This window comes from Homo sapiens, chromosome 5, assembly GCF_000001405.40.
Source record: "Homo sapiens chromosome 5, GRCh38.p14 Primary Assembly".
Lineage (NCBI taxonomy): Eukaryota > Metazoa > Chordata > Mammalia > Primates > Hominidae > Homo > Homo sapiens.
Genome location: NC_000005.10, coordinates 58,048,351 through 58,070,392, shown reverse-complemented (window position 1 = coordinate 58,070,392; position 22,042 = coordinate 58,048,351). Strand labels below are relative to the sequence as shown.

Here is a 22,042-nt window from a genome sequence, read left to right as displayed (position 1 = left end):
AATAGATACTCCTAAGAATATGATAAGGAAATTAACAGTGTCAAGTATCAATACTGTTATTTAAATAAGAGTCAGTCTTTCCTTTTCTTTCCCTTTCTTCAGGTCAGTTGGGTAATAAGCTGAAGTCGTAACAAGGTTTGAGGGTGGCACATATCACATCCGTGTGTGAACACTCAATCATCATGCTCGTAAACTACAAAAGGATCTGATTCAATCTTTTTGTGTGAAAATAATTTTACCGACTTGGAACTTAAAAAATAAATTTCCATCACACAGGATTACATTTGGCCTGTCATGTTTGCATTGGCCTCACCTATATTTACACAAAGTAATATTCTTTCTCTTATAGTTACCATTCTGTGTTCTTCCCCTTGGGCCACATTCCTGGCTTTAGAACACACACACACACACACACACACACGTAGAGTAAATAGCCTCAGAGGTAATAATCTGAAGACCTCAAAACCACCTGTCAATCCATTTAAATCAATTCCAACTGATTATTTGACTAAATTTACTTATGCTTGGATTAAACTGACAGGCACATCATTGAAATGAACCCACAAAAGAGCTTCTTGATCCAATAAAACAGAAGTTATGAAAATGAAAAACAAAATTGCCAAAGTCATAGTTTGTCTTCAAGCCAACCTTATCTGGGGCTTGGTGTTTCTTTCCAAAGCTCAACTAAAGGGCTTTCTACTTTATATCATCTATAAGGACTGTACTACTGAGAGGTGACAGCGTGCTGGCAGCCCTTGCTCGCTCTTGGTGCCTCCTCCGCCTGGCACCCACTCTGGCCACGCTGGAGGAGCCCTTTAGCCCGCCGTTGCACTATGAGATCCCCTCTCTGGGCTGGCCAAGGTCAGAGCCAGCTCCCTCGGCTTCCAGGCAGGTGTGGAGGGAGAGGCGCAGGCGGGAATGGAGGCTGCGCATGGTGCTCGCGGGCCAACACAAGTTCCGGGTGGGTGTGGGCTCTGTGGGCCCCGCACTGGGGGCAGCCGGGCTGGCCGCGGCAGCCAGGCCAGCAGCTGCAGAGGGTGCACCAGGTCCCCCAGCAGTGCTGGCCCGCCGGCACTGTGCTCGAATTCTCGCTGGGCCTCAGCTGCCTCCCCGCAGGGCAGAGCTTGGGACCTGCAGCCTGCCATGCCTGAGCCTCCCCACCGCTGGGGGCTGCTGCCCAGCGGAGCCTCCCCGACAAGCGCTGCCCCCTGCTCTGTGGCACCCGGTCCCACTGACGCCCAAAGGCTGAGGAGTGGGGGCACATGGCGGGGGACTGGCTGGCAGCTCCGTCTGTGCCCCGGTGTGGGATCCACTAGGTGAAGCCAGCTGGGCTCCTGAGTCTAGTGGGGACTTGGAGAATCTTTATGTCTACCTAAGGGATTGTAAATACACCAATCAGTACTCTGTGTCTAGCTCAAGGTTTGTAAATACACCAATCAGCACCCTGTGTCTAGCTCAAGGTTTATAAATGCACCAATCAGTGCTCTGTGTCTAGCTAATCTAGTGGGGACCTGGAGAACTTTTGTGTCTAGCTCAGGGATTGTAAATGCACCAATCAGCACCCTGTCAAAACAGACCAATCAGCTCTCTGTAAAACAGACCAATCAGCTCTAAGTAAAATGGACCAATCAGCAGGATGTGGGTGGGGCCAGATAAAGGAATAAAAGCAGGCTGCCCGAGCCAGTAGTAGCAACCTGTTGGGGTTCCCTTCCACAATGTAGAGCCTTTGTTGTTTTGCTCTTTGTAATAAATCTCGCTGTTGCTGAGTTTTTGAGTCTGCCCTGCCTTTATGAGTTGTAACACTCACCGTGAAGGTCTGTAGCTTCACCCCTGAGGCCAGTGAAACCACGAACCCACCAGGAGGAATGAACAACTCCAGACGCGCCTGCCTTAAGAGCTGTACCACTCACCTTGAAGGTCTGCAGTTTCTCTTCTGAAGCCAGCGAGGCTACGAACCCACCAGAAGTAAGAAACTCTGAACGTGTATGAACATCAGAAGGAACAAACTCTGGACACATCACCTTGAAGAACTGTAACACTCACCGCGAGGGTCCACGTCCTCATTTTTGAGGTCAGTGAGACCAAGAACCCACCAATTCCGGGCACACTGCCGTTTGTATGTTGGTAAGATCTCTTAGTTATAACTATGTCCTGAAATTTTGGAATGTATTTTTCTACTAAGGTAAGCCAGGAAAGTTGGAGGAACATTTGAATGAGGTGGAGCCGTGTCACCTGGCATATGTAAAAGTAATTTTAATTTAGAAAGAGTGCAATTAATTTCTCTAATTGTGTATCCAGGCATCTGATTCTGGGTATGGTACAGTGACTCATGAAATATTTTCATAACGTTCTTAAATAATAAAATTGACAACCTTCAATTCTAAAATGGTCTAAATAGGTGAATTTTTTTTTTCTTTACTTCGAAAGAGGCTACCATGTGGCTGTGACAGTGTAGAAACTGTTTGCTTAACTTCGGGCTTTCTCTCTTTGCCTTCCAGAATCCCAGTGTGCTCATCCCATCTGTGACTCCTGGTCACCGACACATAAAGTGTAGCACACTGCCAAGCAGCACCTAACTTTCAGATTTCATGGTGAACTTGTCCGTGTGGGAAAAGGAGTCCTCGCAACTACTGAGGATGCTATTGCTTACTTTGGAGGCAAGAAATTATTCTAAACCTAATTAATCCACCGCATCATAAAAACTTACACCGTTGCTGTCTGAATTTGTCTAGAAGAGACTGCTGCACAAGTATTTTCTAAGAATCGCTTGAGAACCTGCTAAGATACTTCCAGGCCCAGATAATTTAGGTTGTAATGCAAGATTAAGAAACTGATGTACAGGAGAAAAACCCAGGCAATCAGCCATAATTTGGCTACACTTTTTAAGAAAATGTTATCTAGATATATTTCTCATTAGAGCTTACCATGCTTTAATGTATCTCAATAAAGTCTCCATGAATACCTAAAATGTTACAATTCACAGCCTTAAACTAAATTTTCTGTTTTGTTTTAAAGTTATTATAGTTAAAATTAGGAGATTTAGCCTGGTATCATGACCTATGTCTGTGGTCTCAGCTACTCGGGAAGCTGAGACAGGAGGATCACTTGAACCAAAGTGATCAAGGCTGCAGTGAGCTATGTTTGGGTGACTGCACTTCAGCCTGTAAAACAGAGCAAGATCCTGTCTCAATAAAATAAACTAAGATAAAAGAAGAGAAATACGAGTAAAAAATATAATTTTTCCTACTTTTCAATAAGCATAAGTGTTTTTTGGTTTTGTTTTGTTGCAAATTCACTATATAATAACCAATCCAGCAAGATTGGTAAGTAGGACCATACTAGGTGTTAACAGTACTCTGACCTGCTTAATGAGGACGCTAACACCAATCTGGAAGGTTGGAGAAAATAAAAAAGCAATTGTAGTCTGAGGGTGACCTAGTATATTTCCCAAATCTGTTACCTGGGAATGAGGCAGGGGAAAGAAAGACACAAAACAATGGTTTGTTTATTCTTGCAGGGTTTCAGATCCATTCTTAGAGGGTTTCAGATCCATTTCTGAAGATCTCTAGAAAGATACAGAGAAATGTTTCCTGTTAACAACCTCTCACTACCCTTTCAGGTTAGAAGCATTTCCTTTGAGCTGGTACAAGGCCCTGCTGCAATGCAAAGCCTTCTTCCTCTACTGTTCTCCAGGGAAATGGTTAAGAGCTACCCATTAGCCTGTGTGCAGACATCACTCAGGTACTTCCCAACTAAGATTAATGAAAAGCTCAACTTTTTCTTTCCCAAGCTAATAAATACCTCTTGATATTTGCTGACTTCTCAAGATGGTCGTCTTCCATTGACAACACTAACATATCCCAAAGTAGGATTTTATGGAGCAAGTCGATTAAAGACTACGTCTTTAAAAAATAATTTTTAATTATTTTGTTATTTGTTGCAGGCCATTGAATTAGCCTTAAACAAACCATGGAGATGGTCCCTTTCTCGGTCCCAATGCAGGCCCCTTTCCTTAAATAAAGCTGGCTCTGCCCCTGTCATTGTGGAGTCTCAAAGATGATCATTTTTCGATTCTTCATGTTTTTGCAGCCATATTATATATCAGAGATAATCAAATCAACCATGCTATAACAAAAACCAGATGTTAAACCCACTAAAAGCCCTGGATGATTTTTTCCCCTATTTTTAGTGTTACATAGTCAAAGCCTCCTTTTTTACATTTCTCTTTTCTTCAGGCCTTTATTTTCAAAACTCACTAAAGCATTATACTATTTTGTTTTCTATTATAATATTTTTTGTCACTTAAAAATGTGGATTAATTTTGCCCATCACTTGAACTACTAGTGGCCAGATTTTATAATTCCTTTTACTTTTAACTTGAGCCAACTTGTTACTCTACTCAGTATATAGGTGCCATCTTAAAAACCACCCTGGGTTTTGGAAATAAGATAACTTCTTCAGGTTTAAACCAGGACAGGTGATACATGACAAATGAAATGAACCTTCTGCAGAAGTTATCTCATGGTATTTATACATATCATGTAGTTATTTTCTTAAAATCTAGGTTCTCAGGCCCCAAATCAGAGATTCTGATTTAGTATTTCTGGTGGGGATCCCATGAGTCTACATTTTTAAATTAGCATCTCAAATGGTTGTGATACTGATATTACAAGCAACACAATTTGAGCAACAGTAAACCAAGGAACAGGATGTCCCATTAGACAAAGCAGGAAGAGCAGCTCCAGAAATCTAATCAAGACTTGACAGAAGGGGACAGAAACCGTAGCCTAAACAATGGTGTTAAGAGAAATAAGAAGAGTGTGAGAGGAAAAAGGCAGAAATTTTGCATGGAGTATACAGAAGGGTAAATGAAATCACAGGAATCTGTGACCTCACACCGTTCGGAGAGAGAATGTCTTAACACCTAACATGGACAATCATGATTTCATGATGGTTATCTCCCTACAGTGGAGATGTATGCCTCCAGCTCTCTGTAGCTTAAAGGCAGTATCCATTAAATAATCTAGTTTACTGAACAAACTTGATGATTTTTCAACCTGTTTAACTATTTTCAAGGGAGAAAAGGCCAACACAATGTTTTGGTCTATTTAACAGTTTAAAAATAATACATTGGAAATTTTATACGTTAGTGTTTTGTGAATATAGTAAGAACAAATCAGTTTCTCTGAATCTAGTCAACATTGAATAGAACGAAAGTCAAGTTTTCAGACCTTTAAAAGCAGACTCTTAAACTCAACACCAGGATGATCCTGTCTACCTACTACCCTCCTATAAAGAGCTGATGAGTGAGCTGGAGTGAGAAAAGAATGTCTACCATCTGGTTTTAATGACAGCTCCACCACTTACTAGACTTTGCATGAGTGATTCAACCTCTCTCAATGCCAGGACCCCTTTTGTAAATGGGGGTAATAATACTTAGCACAAAGGGTTGTGTAAATAAACAAGCTAATGCATGCAAAATTCATTTTGCCCAGTAGGTTTTCATTTCCATTAAAAATCTTCCCTAATACTCTCCTTTCCTAGCAACCGGTGGAGTCTGCTCTTTATTATTTTTATGGAATTTAACATTGTTGGTTGTTTTTAGAAATTTTGAATACCATATATGTACCTGTGTGTGTGTGCATGTGTGTGTAATTAACAAAAAAGTTAAAAGTGATGATCTCTAAAAGGTATATAAAATTTTCCTGTGTTTTTAAACCCATATAAACAATATTTAATATTTTCAAAACTACGATTAAATGTCATTAATCTAATTCAATGATTCTTAAATTTGGCTGCACATTAGGATGATTAGGGGCTTTTAAAAATGCCACTGCCCAGATGTGTCCCAGAGTAATTAACCAGAATCTCTGAAGGCAAGACTCAATCCTTAATACTTTTTTAAAGCTCCCCAGGTGAATCCACTTTGCAGCCAAAGTTAAAATTTCTGGTCTAATTCCAATGTACTTAAATTCAGTCCTTAATGAGGAAAGAATTGACACCTTATAAAAGTTTGTAACATCTTGAGATTTAAATAACATTTTTTCCCAAATGACTTAAAAATAGTTTACTAAATCTTTCTATAAATTAAATGGCTGAACTCCCCCAAATCAGTATTTAATATACTTTCAAAATCTTAGTTTTAATTTATTTCATTTAGCTTATTTAAGAAAAAAAGCGGAACCTCTGCAAAATATGGATTTAGGATGTCACATTTCTAATAGAAATTGCAGAAGCTCAAATGGCCAACTCTTTGAAAGAGCTCTTGAGGACCTGCTAAGGTATTAATGATAGTTGATCACATCAAATTCAAGAGTAAAAAGTTCATTTAGACATCAGAAAACCTTCTGGTGGGAAGATACTTGAAAAGACATCAATAGCAGGTCACTGGCTGAAAAGCAGAGGAAGGTGGCATGGCATCAGGAGACCATGGCAAAAATTAAACAATATACAGTTGATTAGCAACAGAAATAGTCCACAATGGGCTACAGGAGACCTCCCAGAAACAGAGTGGAAAATCGAAGTGGGAACTTTATGGGCAGAAAGTGTGTAAACATCCAGGAATGCAGACAGTTGAGTTAAAGAGGTTGGACTTAGGTAACTAGAGCTGAACTCCAGTATTGGTAAGGGGGATTATTTGACCTCAGTTCTCAAGGTACTTTAGAATTTAGATTATTAAAAGTCAGGGGTCTAGTTTCTGATGTTTGAAGAGAAAGTCATGATAATGAAGTGGTTACACGAGTTTCAGGTTGAAACAGATGTGAAGTCAGCACTCTGGGCTTCTTAAATTCTGCCCAACAGTAAACAAAATTGATCCTATTCCTAGGGCAAAGCACATCTTTTTGTGAAAGCAGAGCAGACCCACCCCTGGGAGTTAGTTGTAAGAATATAGAGAAGGCCATTTCAAAATCTAGGGAGAATGTATGTGGCTTGCAAGGGTGCTGGAGAGGATGGCTCATCTGTGACAGCCCAGCTGGGACCTTGGGAATCACCCTGGAGGTGGTCTTCTCTCTCAGCCTATCTGATCGGCCACACCCCATATCAAGTCAATCACCAACTTTTGTCGATTGTAACTCAATAGTATCACTTACACACATCCAATTAACTTATTCCTGCTGTATTCATCCTAATTGAGGCTGACATAATCTCCCGTGTTGATTTACTACATTGACCTCCTAACTGGTTTGCCTTCTCACATCCATTGTAAGCAAAGAAATATGTCTGACCATGATCTATGTTTTTCTGGCTCTAGTCTTTTCATGCTATTTAGAAATCTAGCTTACTATTAATGTTTTCCCTGGACAGTTCTGGGAGTTTCAGGGATGTTTTACAACAGCTCAGGAATAAGTCTAGTTGGCTTCTGGTTCTGCTGCACGCAGAAGGGACCATGCCTTTCTTCTGCTCTAGCTGTCTCCTCCCAATACCACCAAGTCTTTGGGACATTACAGGGTCCTGCTGTGTATGGCTATATCTACTGGAATCCAAAGACCACCACCAGGTCACTGCTTACTCCAGTTTCCTTAACTATCTGCAGATACCCTGGAGGCCTCAAGGCATGGTTATCTATACTGAGGGGGATGTTACAACTTGTGCAAGGGTCAGAGAAAAATGCATTTAATAATGTATAATAGTGTTTTTATTCTTTTGCAGTGTTTGCAGACAAAACTTGAAGGTCCAATTCTAAGTTTCTGTCTTACCATTTATGGCCACCACTCAAAATCCCCATCCAGCACCCCAGAGAAAAAAGAAAAGAAAGCACTCAACAAAGTATACTGGCTGACCTGCTCTTTTTCTGAATATCTAGGTCAAAGTAACCACCAAGGCATGGCTGCTAGACAAAATGGAACCCACAAGCCAGTCAAGGGTGGGTGGAGAGACACCTGGACAGTGGTCATTCTCTGAGACTTTTCAGTGCCCCACTTGTTTTAATTTGTGGTGTGTGTGTGTGTGTGTGTGTGTGTGTGTGTGTGTGTGGCAGGGTGATAATTGGAGAAGAAAGTTCTGATTTTACAGTGCTGGCAAGAGAATTTGGAATAGGCACCTGGAGTCTTACTTCTTTATAAATTATTTTTTTCTTTTTTTTTTTTTTGAGATGGATTCTCACTCTGTTGCCCAGACTGGAGTGCAGTGGTGCAATCTTGGCTCACTGCAACCTCCGCCTCCCGAGGTCAAGCGATTCTTCTACCTCAGCCCCCTGGGTAGCTGGGATTACAGGCACATGCCACCATGCCTGGCTAATTTTTGTATTTTTAGTAGAGTCCGGGTTTCACCATGCTGGCCAGGCTGATCTGGAACTGCTGACCTTGTGATCTGTCCTTCTCTGCTTCCCAAAGTGCTGGGATTACAGGCGTGAGCCACCGTGCCCAACGTTATAAATTCTTTTCTTACTAGGGGTAGACAAAAGTAAAATAACCTGATCTGGTGGGGGGTGCATAGGTGGGACCTAAGAAGTGGATTCTAGGCAGCTGGGAAGTGACCTCTTACGGCTTCCCAAATCTTGCTCAGTAAGTCTGTACTTCAAAAAATAAAAAATAAAAAACACCTCAAGTATATTTCAAGCAATAAAGAAATTAAAGATACTTTTTGTTTGTTTTTAAAACTTGTGAGTAACCTGGGAGTTAAGTAGGAAGGCATCAATTACTTAGCAGACCTCAAGCCCTTAGAGACCTCAAGTTGAAAATTTAAAAACTCTGTCTTTTAACCCAGATTATCTTGGTTACTTCCGTTGGGCATATTTTAGCGTACTTCCTTTTGGTTATACTCTGTTGTTTAGTGGAGTTTCATTTGAACATTCAACCTGGTCACAGCTAAGGAATATTAAGGAAGAATGATGTATCCACACCTAGGACAGGTTGGTAAAGGAAGATCAATGACCTCACCCCTTCAAAGCTACATCCCTTAGGAGAAGACAGATCATTAGAGAAAAAAAGCAGGACAACAAGGGCCAGTTTCAGCCTCTACAGGAAGCCACTCCTTCTAGAGCATCTATTTATTTCATTAGAGAAGTTTGCAATTGAGCCTACAGATTTGAAGTTCTTTGGGAAAGAGCAGCAGAAGGGCTGGGTTCCCTGAAGGGTCTCCGAAGTACCTTATACATTCCCAGGGCTTTTCCTGGAATTAGCTGGCTGTTATTTGAGCTCAGCAAGCAGTTCCTTCAGTTGAAATCAAAGGCTGACTCAATCCAGCTCCTCGGATAGAGTAAGAGACAAAAAATGAAAAGAGATGACCCAAGAGACTACAACTACTTCCTGCCTAAGCTGTTGATTGATTGTGAGTCTTGGGAAGAGCTTGTGATTTTGTAATCGTTAGCAAAATGTTTGATAAGTAGTTTCCAGCAACTTCAGGAATAGGCTGATGTTTAGGCCCTGAGAAAAATGTCTCCTGCAACCTCAGAGATTGCAGGGAAGTTCAGTGACAGGAAACATTTTTATCTGTCTCCTAACAACCAACATCACCTAATGAAATCTGAGTTGCCTTCAATTTCTGTCTGGTGCATCCACATCCATTTGGTTCCCTGTCTCAACCTCATTCACATGCTGCCATCTACTTGCTTTCTCAGTGGGTTGAATTCTGCCTCATTACTTTACTTTGAGCACACTACCAATGAGGTTATAAAGTTTGGAGGAAAAAAAGTACATGAGCAACCCAAGTGAGTCTGCCCATACTAACTCCCCTAAAACAGAATCAATAAATCTTTTCAAAGGCCATATCATATATTTGCTTTCTTTTGAAAATATTTTTCTGTGTTTAAAGTATTTTCACACCCTCATTTTAACTATTGCCGAACTACACTCCAGAGCCATTTTTCCTCTCCTGAATCTTGACTTTTCTCTTTTTACTGCAATGTCCACATTATCACACAAATAGACTTATTACTTCCACCTTAAAAGAATATTGTGACTCCACTTCTTTTTAGTCTTTGGGCCCCTTTTTCTGTGTTCATTTACAATAATCTTTTCACTCTCTGTTGATCCAATACAATTTTCCTTTCACCTTGATTACACCAAGGTTATGAATGACCTCTGTGCTGTTAAATCCAGTGGCAATTTCTCAGCCCTCATCTTACCTGACCTATCAACAGCATTTGATACTAAGGATCACTCAGTTCTTAAACCACGTTTTTTTTTGTTTTTGTTTTTGTTTTTGTTTTTGTTTTTTTTCCTGTGGCTTTCAGGCCATAATTCATTCAAGTTTTCTTCTTCCTAATTGGTCACTCCTTTATCATTATTGCAGCTTCTTTCTCATGTCCCAGAACCCTAAATATTGGAGTGAGTCAGGACTCAGGCCTGTGTCCCTCTATATTTAAACTCACCTCCTGGGTTCATCTAGTCTCATGACTTTTAATACCGTTTATATATGTTGATGCCTAAGTCTCTCTCTTTCCAGCACCTATCTCTCCCCGATTCTTCATTTGTATATCCAGCTGCTTACTGGATATCATGAGATGTCTAATGGGCATTTCATGCTTATGTCCAAAAGCAAATTTCTGTTTTTAAGTAACCCCAATTATTTCTCCAACATCATGCCCCATGAGGAAATCCCATCTTTCCAGACACTCAGACCAAAATCCATCCAAAAATTATTTGGCTCTACTTTTCAAAATATTCCCAGAATCTGGTCTGTCTCAACACCTGTACTGCTACTACACTGCCCAAGCTGTATTTGTCTCCTCCTAACACTATTGCAATGGCCTCCTAACTTTTTAAACTTCATCCATGTTCCTTTTCTGTACAATACTGTACAATATCTTTTAAAATTAAAATATAATTCACATACCATACAATTTACCATTTTAAAATATAAAATCAGCAGTTTTTAGCATATTCACAAACTTGTGCAAAAATTGCCACTAATCCCATTTTTTTGACTCCAAAAAGAAACCCCATCCCGGTCACTTTCCACACTCCCACCACCAGCCCCTGGAAAAATACTAACTGCCACTAATCTGAATATTTTAGATGAAAGGAATCATACTACTCTGCCTTTTATGTCTTTTTTTTTTTTTTTTTTTTTTTTGAGACGGAGTTTTGTTCTTGTTGCCCAGGCTGGAGTGCAATGGCGTGATCTCAGCTCACTGCAACCTCCGTGCCCCAGGTTCAAGTGATTCTCCTGCCTCAGCCTCCCGAGTAGCTGGGATCACAGGCACGCACCAATACGTCTGGCTAATTTTTGTATTTTTGGTAGAGACAGGGTTTCACCATGTTGGCCAGGCTGGTCTCGAACTCCTGACCTCAGGTGATCCACTCACCTTGGCCTCCCAGTTATGTCTTTTTTTTACACTTACCATATTTTCAACGTTCATTCATGTTGTAGCATAAATAAGTACTTTATTCCTTCTTCTGGTTGAATACTATTCTATTGCCTAGGCATACCACATTTTGTTTATCTAAGCAGCAGTTAATGGGCATTTAGGTTGTTTTCATCTCTTGGCTATTACAAATAGTGCAGCTATAATTCACATACACATTTTTGCATAAAAATATGTTTTCAATTCTTTGGGGTATATACCTAGGAGAGGAATTTCTGGATCATATGGTAACTTTATGTTTACCTTTTTAAGGAACTATCAAACTGTTTTCTAAAGTGGCTGCACTATTTTACATTCCCACTGGCAATGTGTGAGCTTACTATAAATTCTTAACACAGTGACCAGAGCTGTGGTATCCAAAACGGTGGCCGCTAGCAACATATGGCTGTTAAACACTTGAAATGGGTATCATCCAAATAGAGATGTCTGTAAGTATAAAATAGACACTTGGTTTCCAAGACTGAGTGTGAAAAAAGAATATAAAATATCTCAGTAATTACAGTTTATATTAATTACACACTGAAAATAATATATTTTGATAGGTTAAGCAAAATATGTTAAATAAATTTTAACTGAATTTGGCTAATTCAGCACATATTAAAAGGATTATACATCATGACCAAGTAGAATTTATTCCTGGAATGCTAGGATGATTCAAAATATAAAAATCAGTATAATATACCATATTAACAGAATGAAGACAAAACAAACACACAGTCATATCAATTGATGCAGAAAAATCATTTGACAAAATTCAACATTCTTTTATAATAAAAAAAAACTCAACAAACTGGAAATAAAAGGAAATTGCCTCAACATAGTAAAAGCCATATATGAAAAACATACAGTGAACATTATATGCAATGGCAAAAGACTGAAAACTATTCCTCTAAAATCAGGAACAAGACAAGGGTGCCCACTTTCACACTTCTATTCAATATAGTACTAGAAGTTCTAGCCAGAACAATTAGGCCAAAAAAAAAAAAAAAAAGGAATCTGAGTTGTAAAGAAAGAAGTAAAATTATCTCTGTCTGCAGATACATTACCTTATAGGTAGAAAATCGTAAAGAGTTCATAAAAATAAACTTAGAACTAAAAAGTCATTTTAGCAGTGTAGAAAGATATGAAGTCAACATACAAAATGTCTTTCATTTTCACACTCTAATAATGAATAATCTGAAAAGGAAATGACAAAAACAAGTCAATTTACTATAGCACCAAAAAGAATAAAATGCTTAGGAAACAAGTTAACCAAGGACATGAAAGGCTTGTACAATGAACACTATAAAACATTACCGAAAAATATTAGAACAGAAACACATCTTAACTTTATGGATTGGAAGACTTAATATTGTTAAAATTTCAGTGCTACCCAAAGTGATCTACAAATTCAGTGCAATCCCTATCCAAATCTCAATGATTTTTTGCAGAAATGGGAAAACCCATCATAAAATTCACATAGAATCTCAGGGGACCACGAGTAGCCACAGTCTTGCGGAAAAAAATAATAAAAGAATAAAACTGTAGAACTTACACTTCCTCATTTCAAAACTTACCACAAAGCTACAGTAATCAAAACAGTGTGGTACTGGCATAAAGACAGACGTGAACTAACGGAATAGAAGAGAACCCACAAATAAACCCTTGAATTATGGTCAAATAATTTTTGACAAGGATGCCAAGGCCATTCAATGGGGAAAGGACAGTCTTTTCAACAAATGGTGCTAAGAAAATTGGATATTCAGAATAAAATTGGGTACCTTACATAACATCACATACAAAAATAAACTCAAAATGGACCACAGACGTAAGGGTAAGACCAAAAACGATAAACTTTTAGAAGAAAATATTGGGCAAAAGCCTCATGACATTGGAATTGGCAATGATTTCTTCGATATGATTCCAAATTCACTCCATAATGTGAATTTCATCCTACAAACTAAATGCATGACTCCACACATTCATGTACTACTCCAGGGATATCAGAAAACCTTCCCAACATCATTCACATAACAAGCACATTTGTAACTAAAAATTTTCATTAACCTTTTCAACAAAGATTTTTATATTCCTGTTTTTATATTCCTGTTTTTATATTTCTAGTTTTACTATGAGCTAGAACACAAAATTCAACCCAAGGAGTGCAAATCAAATTGAAAAGGGAAAAATTGTAATTCAGGAAAGGGGAATCAAGACTTGAAGAATTGACTGAATTATTAATATTTTCTCTTATTGTTCATTGACCCTAGTCAAGTTGACAATACTTACTGTGTTTATGGAGTTTTATTGTTCCTAGGGTTTCGGGAACTGAAAATGCATGTTATCTTAGAAATGATCTCACAAATACTGGCTGGATTCCCAGGCAGTGCACCAAAGCTCATTTAACTCATAATGTAAGTAATCATGAATGAGAGAAACTAATGCTGGAGAATAAATGTGTCTTTTAAATACAATACATATTTAAACATCTCTACAATCTAAAAATCCTTAAATGTAAATATAAAATACTGATAATCAAAAATTTTAAAAAATAAAATTGATGACAATGGTTGAGTATGGCTGTAGATAAGTGTGAGGGAGATTCTGTTTGGAACTTTGACCACTTCCAAGAACCCTAGGGGCTGAAGGATGCCATTTCTTTCCTGTGCCAGATTTTGCCTCAAACTCAGAGGTTTTATTTCTTTGACGAAAGTGTCTCAACTATCAACATGAGTCTCTTGTCCATCCAAACACCATATTAGGTAGGTAATTTTGTATTTTTTAACATCAAAAGGGAATTCATGCACTCTGTTTAAAAATGTTTGCATTTAGAAGATAATGGAATTTATTCAATCTCTAAAGCAAAATTTTTCACGCTCTCTTTAATTCCTTTCAATCTCAGGGTTTCTTCACATCTACACCCATGGTTTTTTCTTTGATTTTCACGGTCACTTTTTCATGTTATCAGAATCTATTGGCCTCAGCTTGAGGTCATATTGTACCTACATTAAGTCAGGAATCATATTACCCTTTCTTGTGTCCTGCAGAACCTTCCAGTAGATAACTGAGTTCTTAGACTCCTTGTTCTTCACTCCATCAAGATCAGGGCTAAGCTAAAGCCTAATGAACTGGGCAAACTGTTGAGGTCCCCTCATCATGGTTGGCTAACAATCTAGGATGGACTGTTAAGAGCACAACAGAGTCTTCTTTTTGTTTGGAGACAAGTGGCCCTGGGCATCATTCTAACTTCTCCTTACTGAGAGGTCTTAACAAATGGATGTCACCTCTCAGAGCCTCAGTGGTCTCATCTAAGAAAAGATCGTAATATGCCATGTAATGTATGTAAAATATCATGAAAATTTACAGGCATATGGATTTTGGATGATTATGATGGGTCAACGTAGGCTTATCAGTTGTAACAAGTGTACCCTCTGGTAGGGCATATTGACAATGGAAGAAGGCTATGCACATGTTGGGGGGGTGGGTAATGGGAAATATCTATACCTTCCTTTCAATTTTGCTGTGAACTTAAAACTACTCTTAAAAATGCCTTAAAGTAAAAAGTTACAGGCACATAGAAGGTATTCAATAAATGCCAGTTTTGCTCTCTCACCCTTTTTTAAATCTCTACCATAGACACCCAGAAAACGGAGGACTCCAATACTCAAATGAAAAACACTGCTGCAGGAAAGAGATTCTAAGAGCCCTGTTTCCCAAGGAGGATCAATGTGCTCTCTTCCCTGTGCCAGCAGCAGGAGAAGAAAAGGTGAAAGGTAAGAGTTAGTTCTGCTGTATGGGATTGTGCAGACTGTGCCCCAACACTAGGGTGGCTCCCAAGGGAGATGAATGGGAACTAAAATTTGGTCTCAGCTCTGCTTGCCTCACCCAGTGTTGCTGGCGGTCTGGAGGAAAAGAAGCCTTTTTTTTTTTTTCAAAATGATTTGCCCAGAAGAACACCTTTTGGCAATTTCTCTGTTTGAAGAAGGCATCCTTTTCAAGAAGAAAAACAGCAACATAAACAAGTGCTAAAGAGACTTCATGAGAATGTGCCTCTATTATCAGTGATTCTTAGAGCTGTCTCCAACCCACAAGGAAAATAATTTTCACTTCAGAGGGTAAGAAAGGATGGGATCAGTCCTGAATCATCTATGGTATGGAATAAATAATTCCTATAATAGGAATTTTTAATTTAATTTAATTTACTTAGGGATTAGTCCATTCTCACACTGCTATAAAGAACTACCCAAGGCTGGGTAACTTATAAAGGAAAGAGGTTTAATTAACTCACAGTTCCGCATGGCTGGGGAGGCCTCAGGAAACTTACAATAATGGTGTAAGGGGAAGCAGAAGCATCCTTTTTCACATGGTGGCAGGAGAGAGAAACGCCAAGCTAAGGGGGAAAAGCCCCTTGTAAAACCATCAGACCTCGTGAGAACCCACCCACAATCATGAGAATAGCAGCATGGGGGTAACTGACCCCATGATTCAATTACCTCCCACTGAGTCTCTCCCATGACACATGGGGACTATGGGAACTACAATTCAAGATGAGGTTTGGGTGGGGACACAGCCAAATCAGGGACTAAATTATCAAATATAGTAATTATGTATTTGTTTATCAAAGTTATATTTTAAAGCCCGACTTTTCATAAATTAGATCCAAATATATAGAGGAAGCTCCCTACAACACTTATTAAACATAATTTAGAAAACTCAACCACTAAGCTTTTGATTTCAGTTATTGTATTTTTCTGTTCTAGAATTTGCATTTGGTTCTTCTTTATATCTTGTAATTCATTGTTGAGACTCTATTTCTTTGCAATGTTTCAAGCATGTTCATAATTGCCCATTGAAACATTTTTTACATGGCTACTCTAAAATTTTTGTTGCGTAATTATTACATCTCTGTCATTTCAGTGTTGCATCTCTGCACTGTCTGTTTTCTGTGTGAAATCTTCCTGGTTCTTGCTATAAGTACATTTTCTATTGAAACCTGTGCATTTTCATATTACATTATAAGACTCCTGATTTTATTTAGGCTTTCTAGGTATGCCTTGTGTAGTTTTTGTTTGTTTGTTTGTTTTTTCTTAAGACGGAGGTTCGCTCTTGTTGCCCAGGCTGCAGTGCAATGGCATGATCTCGGCTCACCGCAGCCTCCGCCTCCTGGGTTCAAGTGATTCTCCTGCCTCAGCTTCCCAAGTAGCTGGAATTACAGGCATGTGCCACCAAGCCCAGCTAATTTTTGTATTTTTAGTAGAGACGGGGTTTCTCCATGTTGGTCAGGCTGGTCTCGAACTCCTGGCCTCAAGTGATCCGCCTGCCTCGGCCTCCCAAAGTGCAGGGCTTACAGGTGTGAGCCACCATGCCTGGCCTGTAGTTTTGTTTTTAACACATCTCCTGTAGGGTAAAGTGGGAATACTTCCTCAATAAAATACTGGCAAAACGAATCCAGCAGCACATCAAAAAGCTTATCCACCATGATCAAGTGGGCTTCATCCCTGGGATGCAAGGCTGGTTCAATATACGCAAATCAATAAATGTAATCCAGCATATAAACAGAACCAAAGACAAAAACCACATGATTATCTCCATAGATGCAGAAAAGGCCTTTGACAAAATTCAACAACCCTTCATGCTAAAAACTCTCAATACATTAGGTACTGATGGGATGTATCTCAAAATAATAAGAACTATCTATGACAAACCCACAACCAATATCATACTGAATGGGCAAAAACTGGAAGCATTCCCTTTGAAATCTGGCAGAAGACAGGGATGCCCTCTCTCACCACTCCTATTCAACATAGTATTGGAAGTTCTGGCCAGGGCAATTAGGCAGGAGAAGGAAATCAAGGGTATTCAATTAGGAAAAGAGGAAGTCAAATTGTCCCTGTTTGCAGACGACATAATTGTATATCTAGAAAACCCCATTGTCTCAGCCCAAAATCTCCTTAAGCTGATAAGCAACTTCAGCAAAGTCTCAGGATACAAAATCAATGTGCAAAAATCACAAGCATTCTTATACACCAATAACAGACAAACAGAGAGCCAAATCATGAGTGAACTCCCATTCACAATTGCTTCAAAGAGAATAAAATACCTAGGAATCCAACTTACAAGGGATGTGAAGGACCTCTTCAAGGAGAACTACAAACCACTGCTCAATGAAATTAAACAGGATACAAACAAATGGAAGCACATTCCATGTTCATGGGTAGGAAGAATCAATATTGTGAAAATGGCCATACTGCCCAAGGTAATTTATATATTCAATGCCATCCTCATCAAGCTACCAATGACTTTCTTCACAGAATTGGAAAAAACTACTTTAAAGTTCATATGGAACCAAAAAAGAGCCCGCATCACCAAGTCAATCCTAAGCCAAAAGAACAAAGCTGGAGGCATCACGCTACCTGACTTCAAACTATACTACAAGGCTACAGTAACCAAAACAGCATGGTACTGGTACCAAAACAGAGATATAGATCAATGGAACAGAACAGAGCCCTCAGAAATAACGCCTCATATCTACAACTATCTGATCTTTGACAAACCTGAGAAAAACAAGCAATGGGGAAAGGATTCCCTATTTAATAAATGGTGCTGGGAAAACTGGCTAGCCATATGTAGAAAGCTGAAATTGGATCACTTCCTTACACCTTATACAAAAATCAATTCAAGATGGATTAAAGACTTAAACGTTAGACCTAAAACCATAAAAACCCTAGAAGAAAACCTAGGCAATACCATTCAGGACATAGGCAAGGGCAAGGACTTCATGTCTAAAACACCAAAAGCAATGGCAACAAAAGCCAAAATTGGCAAATGGGGTCTAATTAAACTCAAGAGCTTATGCACAGCAAAAGAAACTACCATCAGAGTGAACAGGCAACCCACGAAATGGCAGAAAATTTTCGCAACCTACTCATCTGACAAAGGGCTAATATCCAGAATCTACAATGAACTCAAACAAATTTACAAGAGAAAAACAAACAACCCCATCAAAAAGTGGGCGAAGGACATGAACAGACACTTAAGGGCTAATATCCAGAATCTACAATGAACTCAAACAAATTTACAAGAAAAAAACAACCCCATCAAAAAGTGGGCGAAGGACATGAACAGACACTTCTCAAAAGAAGACATTTATGCAGCCAAAAAACACAGGAAAAATGCTCACCGTCACTGGCCATCAGAGAAATGCAAATCAAAACCACAATGAGATATCATCTCACACCAGTTAGAATGGCAATCATTAAAAAGTCAGGAAACAACAGGTGCTGGAGAGGATGTGGGGAAATAGGACCACTTTTACACTGTTGGTGGGACTGTAAACTAGTTCAACCATTGTGGAAGTCAGTGTGGCGATTCCTCAGGGATCTAGAACTAGAAATACCATTTGACCCAGCCATCCCATTACTGGGTATATACCCAAAGGACTATAAATCATGCTGCTATAAAGACACATGCACACGTATGTTTATTGTGGCACTATTCACAATAGCAAAGACTTGGAACCAACCCAAATGTCCAACAATGATAGACTGGATTAAGAAAATGTGGCACATATCCGCCATGGAATACTATGCAGCCATAAAAAATGATGAGTTCATGTCCTTTGTAGGGACATGGATGCAATTGGAAATCATCATTCTCAGTAAACTATGGCAAGAACAAAAAACCAAACACCACATATTCTCACTCATAGGTGGGAATTGAACAATGGGAACACATGGACACAGGAAGGGGAACATCACACTCTGGGGACTGTTGTGGGGTGGGGGGAGGGGGGAGGGATAGCATTGGGAGATATACCTAATGCTAGATGACCAGTTAGTGGGTGCAGCGCACCAGCATGTAACATGTATACATATGTAACTAACCTGCACATTGTGCACATGTACCCTAAAACTTAAAGTATAATAATAAAAAAAAAAAGAAAAGAAAACATTCTCACTTGGCTTTCATTAACACCCAAGGTGGAGAGAACTTCTTGTTACTGCCAATTAGACATAGAAGTTTCTGCCCCCCACATGGTCTCTATTGACACAGTGGGCAAGAAAGGTCCTATTACTAACCAGCATCCCTACTTGGCATTCCCTGATGGGATCCTGGTGGATGCAAGAGCACCTTGTTACAGCTTCATTAGGTTGGAAATCTAGGCTCACTACTCAGCCTCTGCAGGCTTGGATCAGAATGCACTCACAGTTTTTTTCTGTGGTGTTTGGCTGAATTGGAGAGGTTATTGTCTAAAAATGTTCACTTTTCCTAGGCTACTTCTTCCTGAGTCTTTTGCCTAGAGAAATCATAATTTCTTTTCTGTTTTTTATTTATTTGTAGTGGTCTGCCCTCATTATTGTCTCCAGGTTGCTGGCTTCTTCAGCTCCAAGTCTGGGATACATGAGGCAAAGAGAACACCCAAGACCTCATTACTGTGTTGTTTCTCAAGTTCCAAGGTCTCTAGCCAGTCTGCCTTCTCATGTCCAGCTTTCAAAGTCTTCATATGATTATTATATGTATTATAGCTACACTTTTCAGTTGTACTTAGAAAGATAAGAAAACACACATCTATCCCGTGTTCCTAGAAAAGAAAGTCCCTCAATTCACACCACATTATTTGTTGGTGATCCTGCAAAGAACATTGTGCAGGTTAATAAATTTAATGTTAAACTTAAAACTTGACTTTGCCATAACCTTTTGGGTATTTACAAGACATCGTTAGGTTTAGAAAAACTTTCAGTAGGCTTTTTGTAACTGTCAATATTGTGACAATATTTACCCTGAGAATATGGTATTATAGAGGATGTTTCTGACTTATACTGAATACTTATAGAGCCATTTTTATACTCAGTCAATTTTGGCGTTGACCCGTTGTACCTTGCAATTTTTATCATTCTGTGCTTTTTCTTTCTTTTTCTCATCCCGATTCCATCTAGTCATCTGGAATATATAAAAAATGTCCACAAAAGAATGATAGGACTTTCTTCCAGGCCAGCCTCTTTTTAGACAGTAGTCAGTGAAAACAGAACCAGATTGTTCAGTGTGGGAGGTGTGTGTGTGTGTTCGTGTAGAGGGCAGTCAGTTTTTTGGCACTCCACTCAAATGCGTAGCTACCTCAGTGGTCATTGCTTATATTAATACAATGTACTCAAAGTTACCTAGACCTTAAAGCTGAAATGTAGCTTTCAAACACTCTTTCTCTTGTCAAAACTCTTGGAACTTGATGAGTTTAAAAAAAAAAAAGCAGGTATTTCAAAGATTGTAACAAAATACTGCAGGTTGAAGCACATATTGTACGAATTTGTTAGTAATTATGATGAAAAAAGCATGGGTGATATGATTGGGCCATTGGGTTTTAAATGAGCCATCTATGTTGGTGATATGAATGGTGAATCTCAGAGTTTCTAGGACAAGATGTTTTATGTGTTTCCTCTACCAAACTGCAAGATCTTGGAACGTAGGGGCCATGTTGCATTCTTCAGGGATTGGCCTATAGCAAATTGTCAATACACCTCTTGAATGATTTAAAAAGTTATTATCCTATAATCATTGATCTCTTCAGAAATTAAACCAGAAGAAAGGTCACTTCTACTGGTACAGACAGACATTTCTTTAAGAGAATTAAAGAGCATACTCAGAAAACAACTCCAGAGGACTTCCTCAGAAAGTCATTTTCTATTACTTCAACTTCCACAAAAGGAATCAGTCATAGAAATGAATTACAGGCCAGAATTAATTTTCCATGAAAATGAAAGGGATGCATTTGGTAAACTTAGGTGAACATCAAGCCAGAATCCTTATTTAACTACTTTTATCATTTGTTTTGCTTTTGAAACTGGATATTTTCCAGACCCACAGCTGCCCATCTACAGAAATGCATTCACATTTTCACATGGTTATGGATCCATCGATTCTAGCCAGTATAGGCTGGTATGCTGTTTATGCTCAGGAAATGCCAAGTGCACTTTTGATCTTTACCAGAAAACCAAATGCCATTAGGGAGTTGGGCTGTGGCTATAAAAACTGACCCCTGCCAAAGGGGGGAGGGTAGGGAAGGACAGATTATTCAGAACTTCTCGCTGAACTTAACTGCTCACACCTCTCCACCTTCACCCCACTTCAGTTCCTTCTTCTCCCCCGAGCCTGTGTTGTTGGAGATAATGACAATGGTGTCAGTGTCTGTCAGAATGTACTTAATCGATAAAGAAGAAGCATCCATTGCCTCCTTCCCCAGGCTGTTAATCCCCTGGAAATTGTATACAAAGTGATAACTATATATGCATATGTCAGTTTTCTAGGGGGAGGCTCTTGTGGGCTCCATCACAGTTTTTAAAAGATTAGCAATCTAGATAAATGTATTGCACAATTAGCCTGCTAATGCAGAGATAAAGGTGGTGATTGCAAGGGATAGCAGTATGTTATCAACAAACTAAGTTGATCTGTTTCCTTTTGGCAGATATTGGAAGTCTTACATGATTGGAGGCCTAATAATTTGTAGGTCTCCTTCTCCCATCATCTTGCTACCAGGTGAATATTACAATAAAAAGAAATCTGAGACAGAATTCTGCTATACATACAAGCGTCTGTTAACAAGCAGAGACTGAAAGTACAAAATAAGAATATGCCATCTGCCAAAAGAAAACAGCAGAAAGAGAAATTATTGAGAATCTAATTGGGCTGGGAGTGCTTGCAGGACCGTGCAACAGTCCTCAATATATGCACAGTGAATATGCACACACACACCCTTAGCCACAT

At 39.2% G+C, this 22,042-nt stretch overlaps 1 long non-coding RNA gene and 1 other non-coding gene across 2 annotated transcripts, besides 2 other annotated features; one reads left to right on the top strand and one right to left on the bottom strand.

Moving 5' to 3' along the window:
- Nucleotides 1-101: 101 nt before the first annotated feature.
- On the bottom strand, nucleotides 102-205 carry LOC124901202 (small nucleolar RNA U13). The gene has a single exon (XR_007059166.1). It is a non-coding gene; the product is annotated as a small nucleolar RNA U13 (small nucleolar RNA).
- Nucleotides 1,385-2,584: an enhancer, noted in NCBI's record as "BRD4-independent group 4 enhancer chr5:57363636-57364835 (GRCh37/hg19 assembly coordinates)". NCBI's record gives its function as "activates an origin of replication core promoter dependent on BRD2, P300/CBP, MED14 and CDK7 cofactors, and independent of BRD4, by STARR-seq in HCT116 cells {active_cell/tissue: HCT116}" and the evidence as "EXISTENCE:reporter gene assay evidence [ECO:0000049][PMID:35650434]".
- LOC124901183 (uncharacterized) lies at nucleotides 1,689-4,040 on the top strand. The gene is made up of 2 exons (XR_007059134.1): nucleotides 1,689-2,124; nucleotides 2,499-4,040. It is a non-coding gene; the product is annotated as an uncharacterized LOC124901183 (long non-coding RNA).
- Nucleotides 21,317-21,611: a silencer, noted in NCBI's record as "tiled region #13165; K562 Repressive DNase matched - State 9:DNaseU". NCBI's record gives its function as "represses a minimal TATA promoter and a strong SV40 promoter by Sharpr-MPRA in K562 cells {active_cell/tissue: K562}" and the evidence as "EXISTENCE:reporter gene assay evidence [ECO:0000049][PMID:27701403]".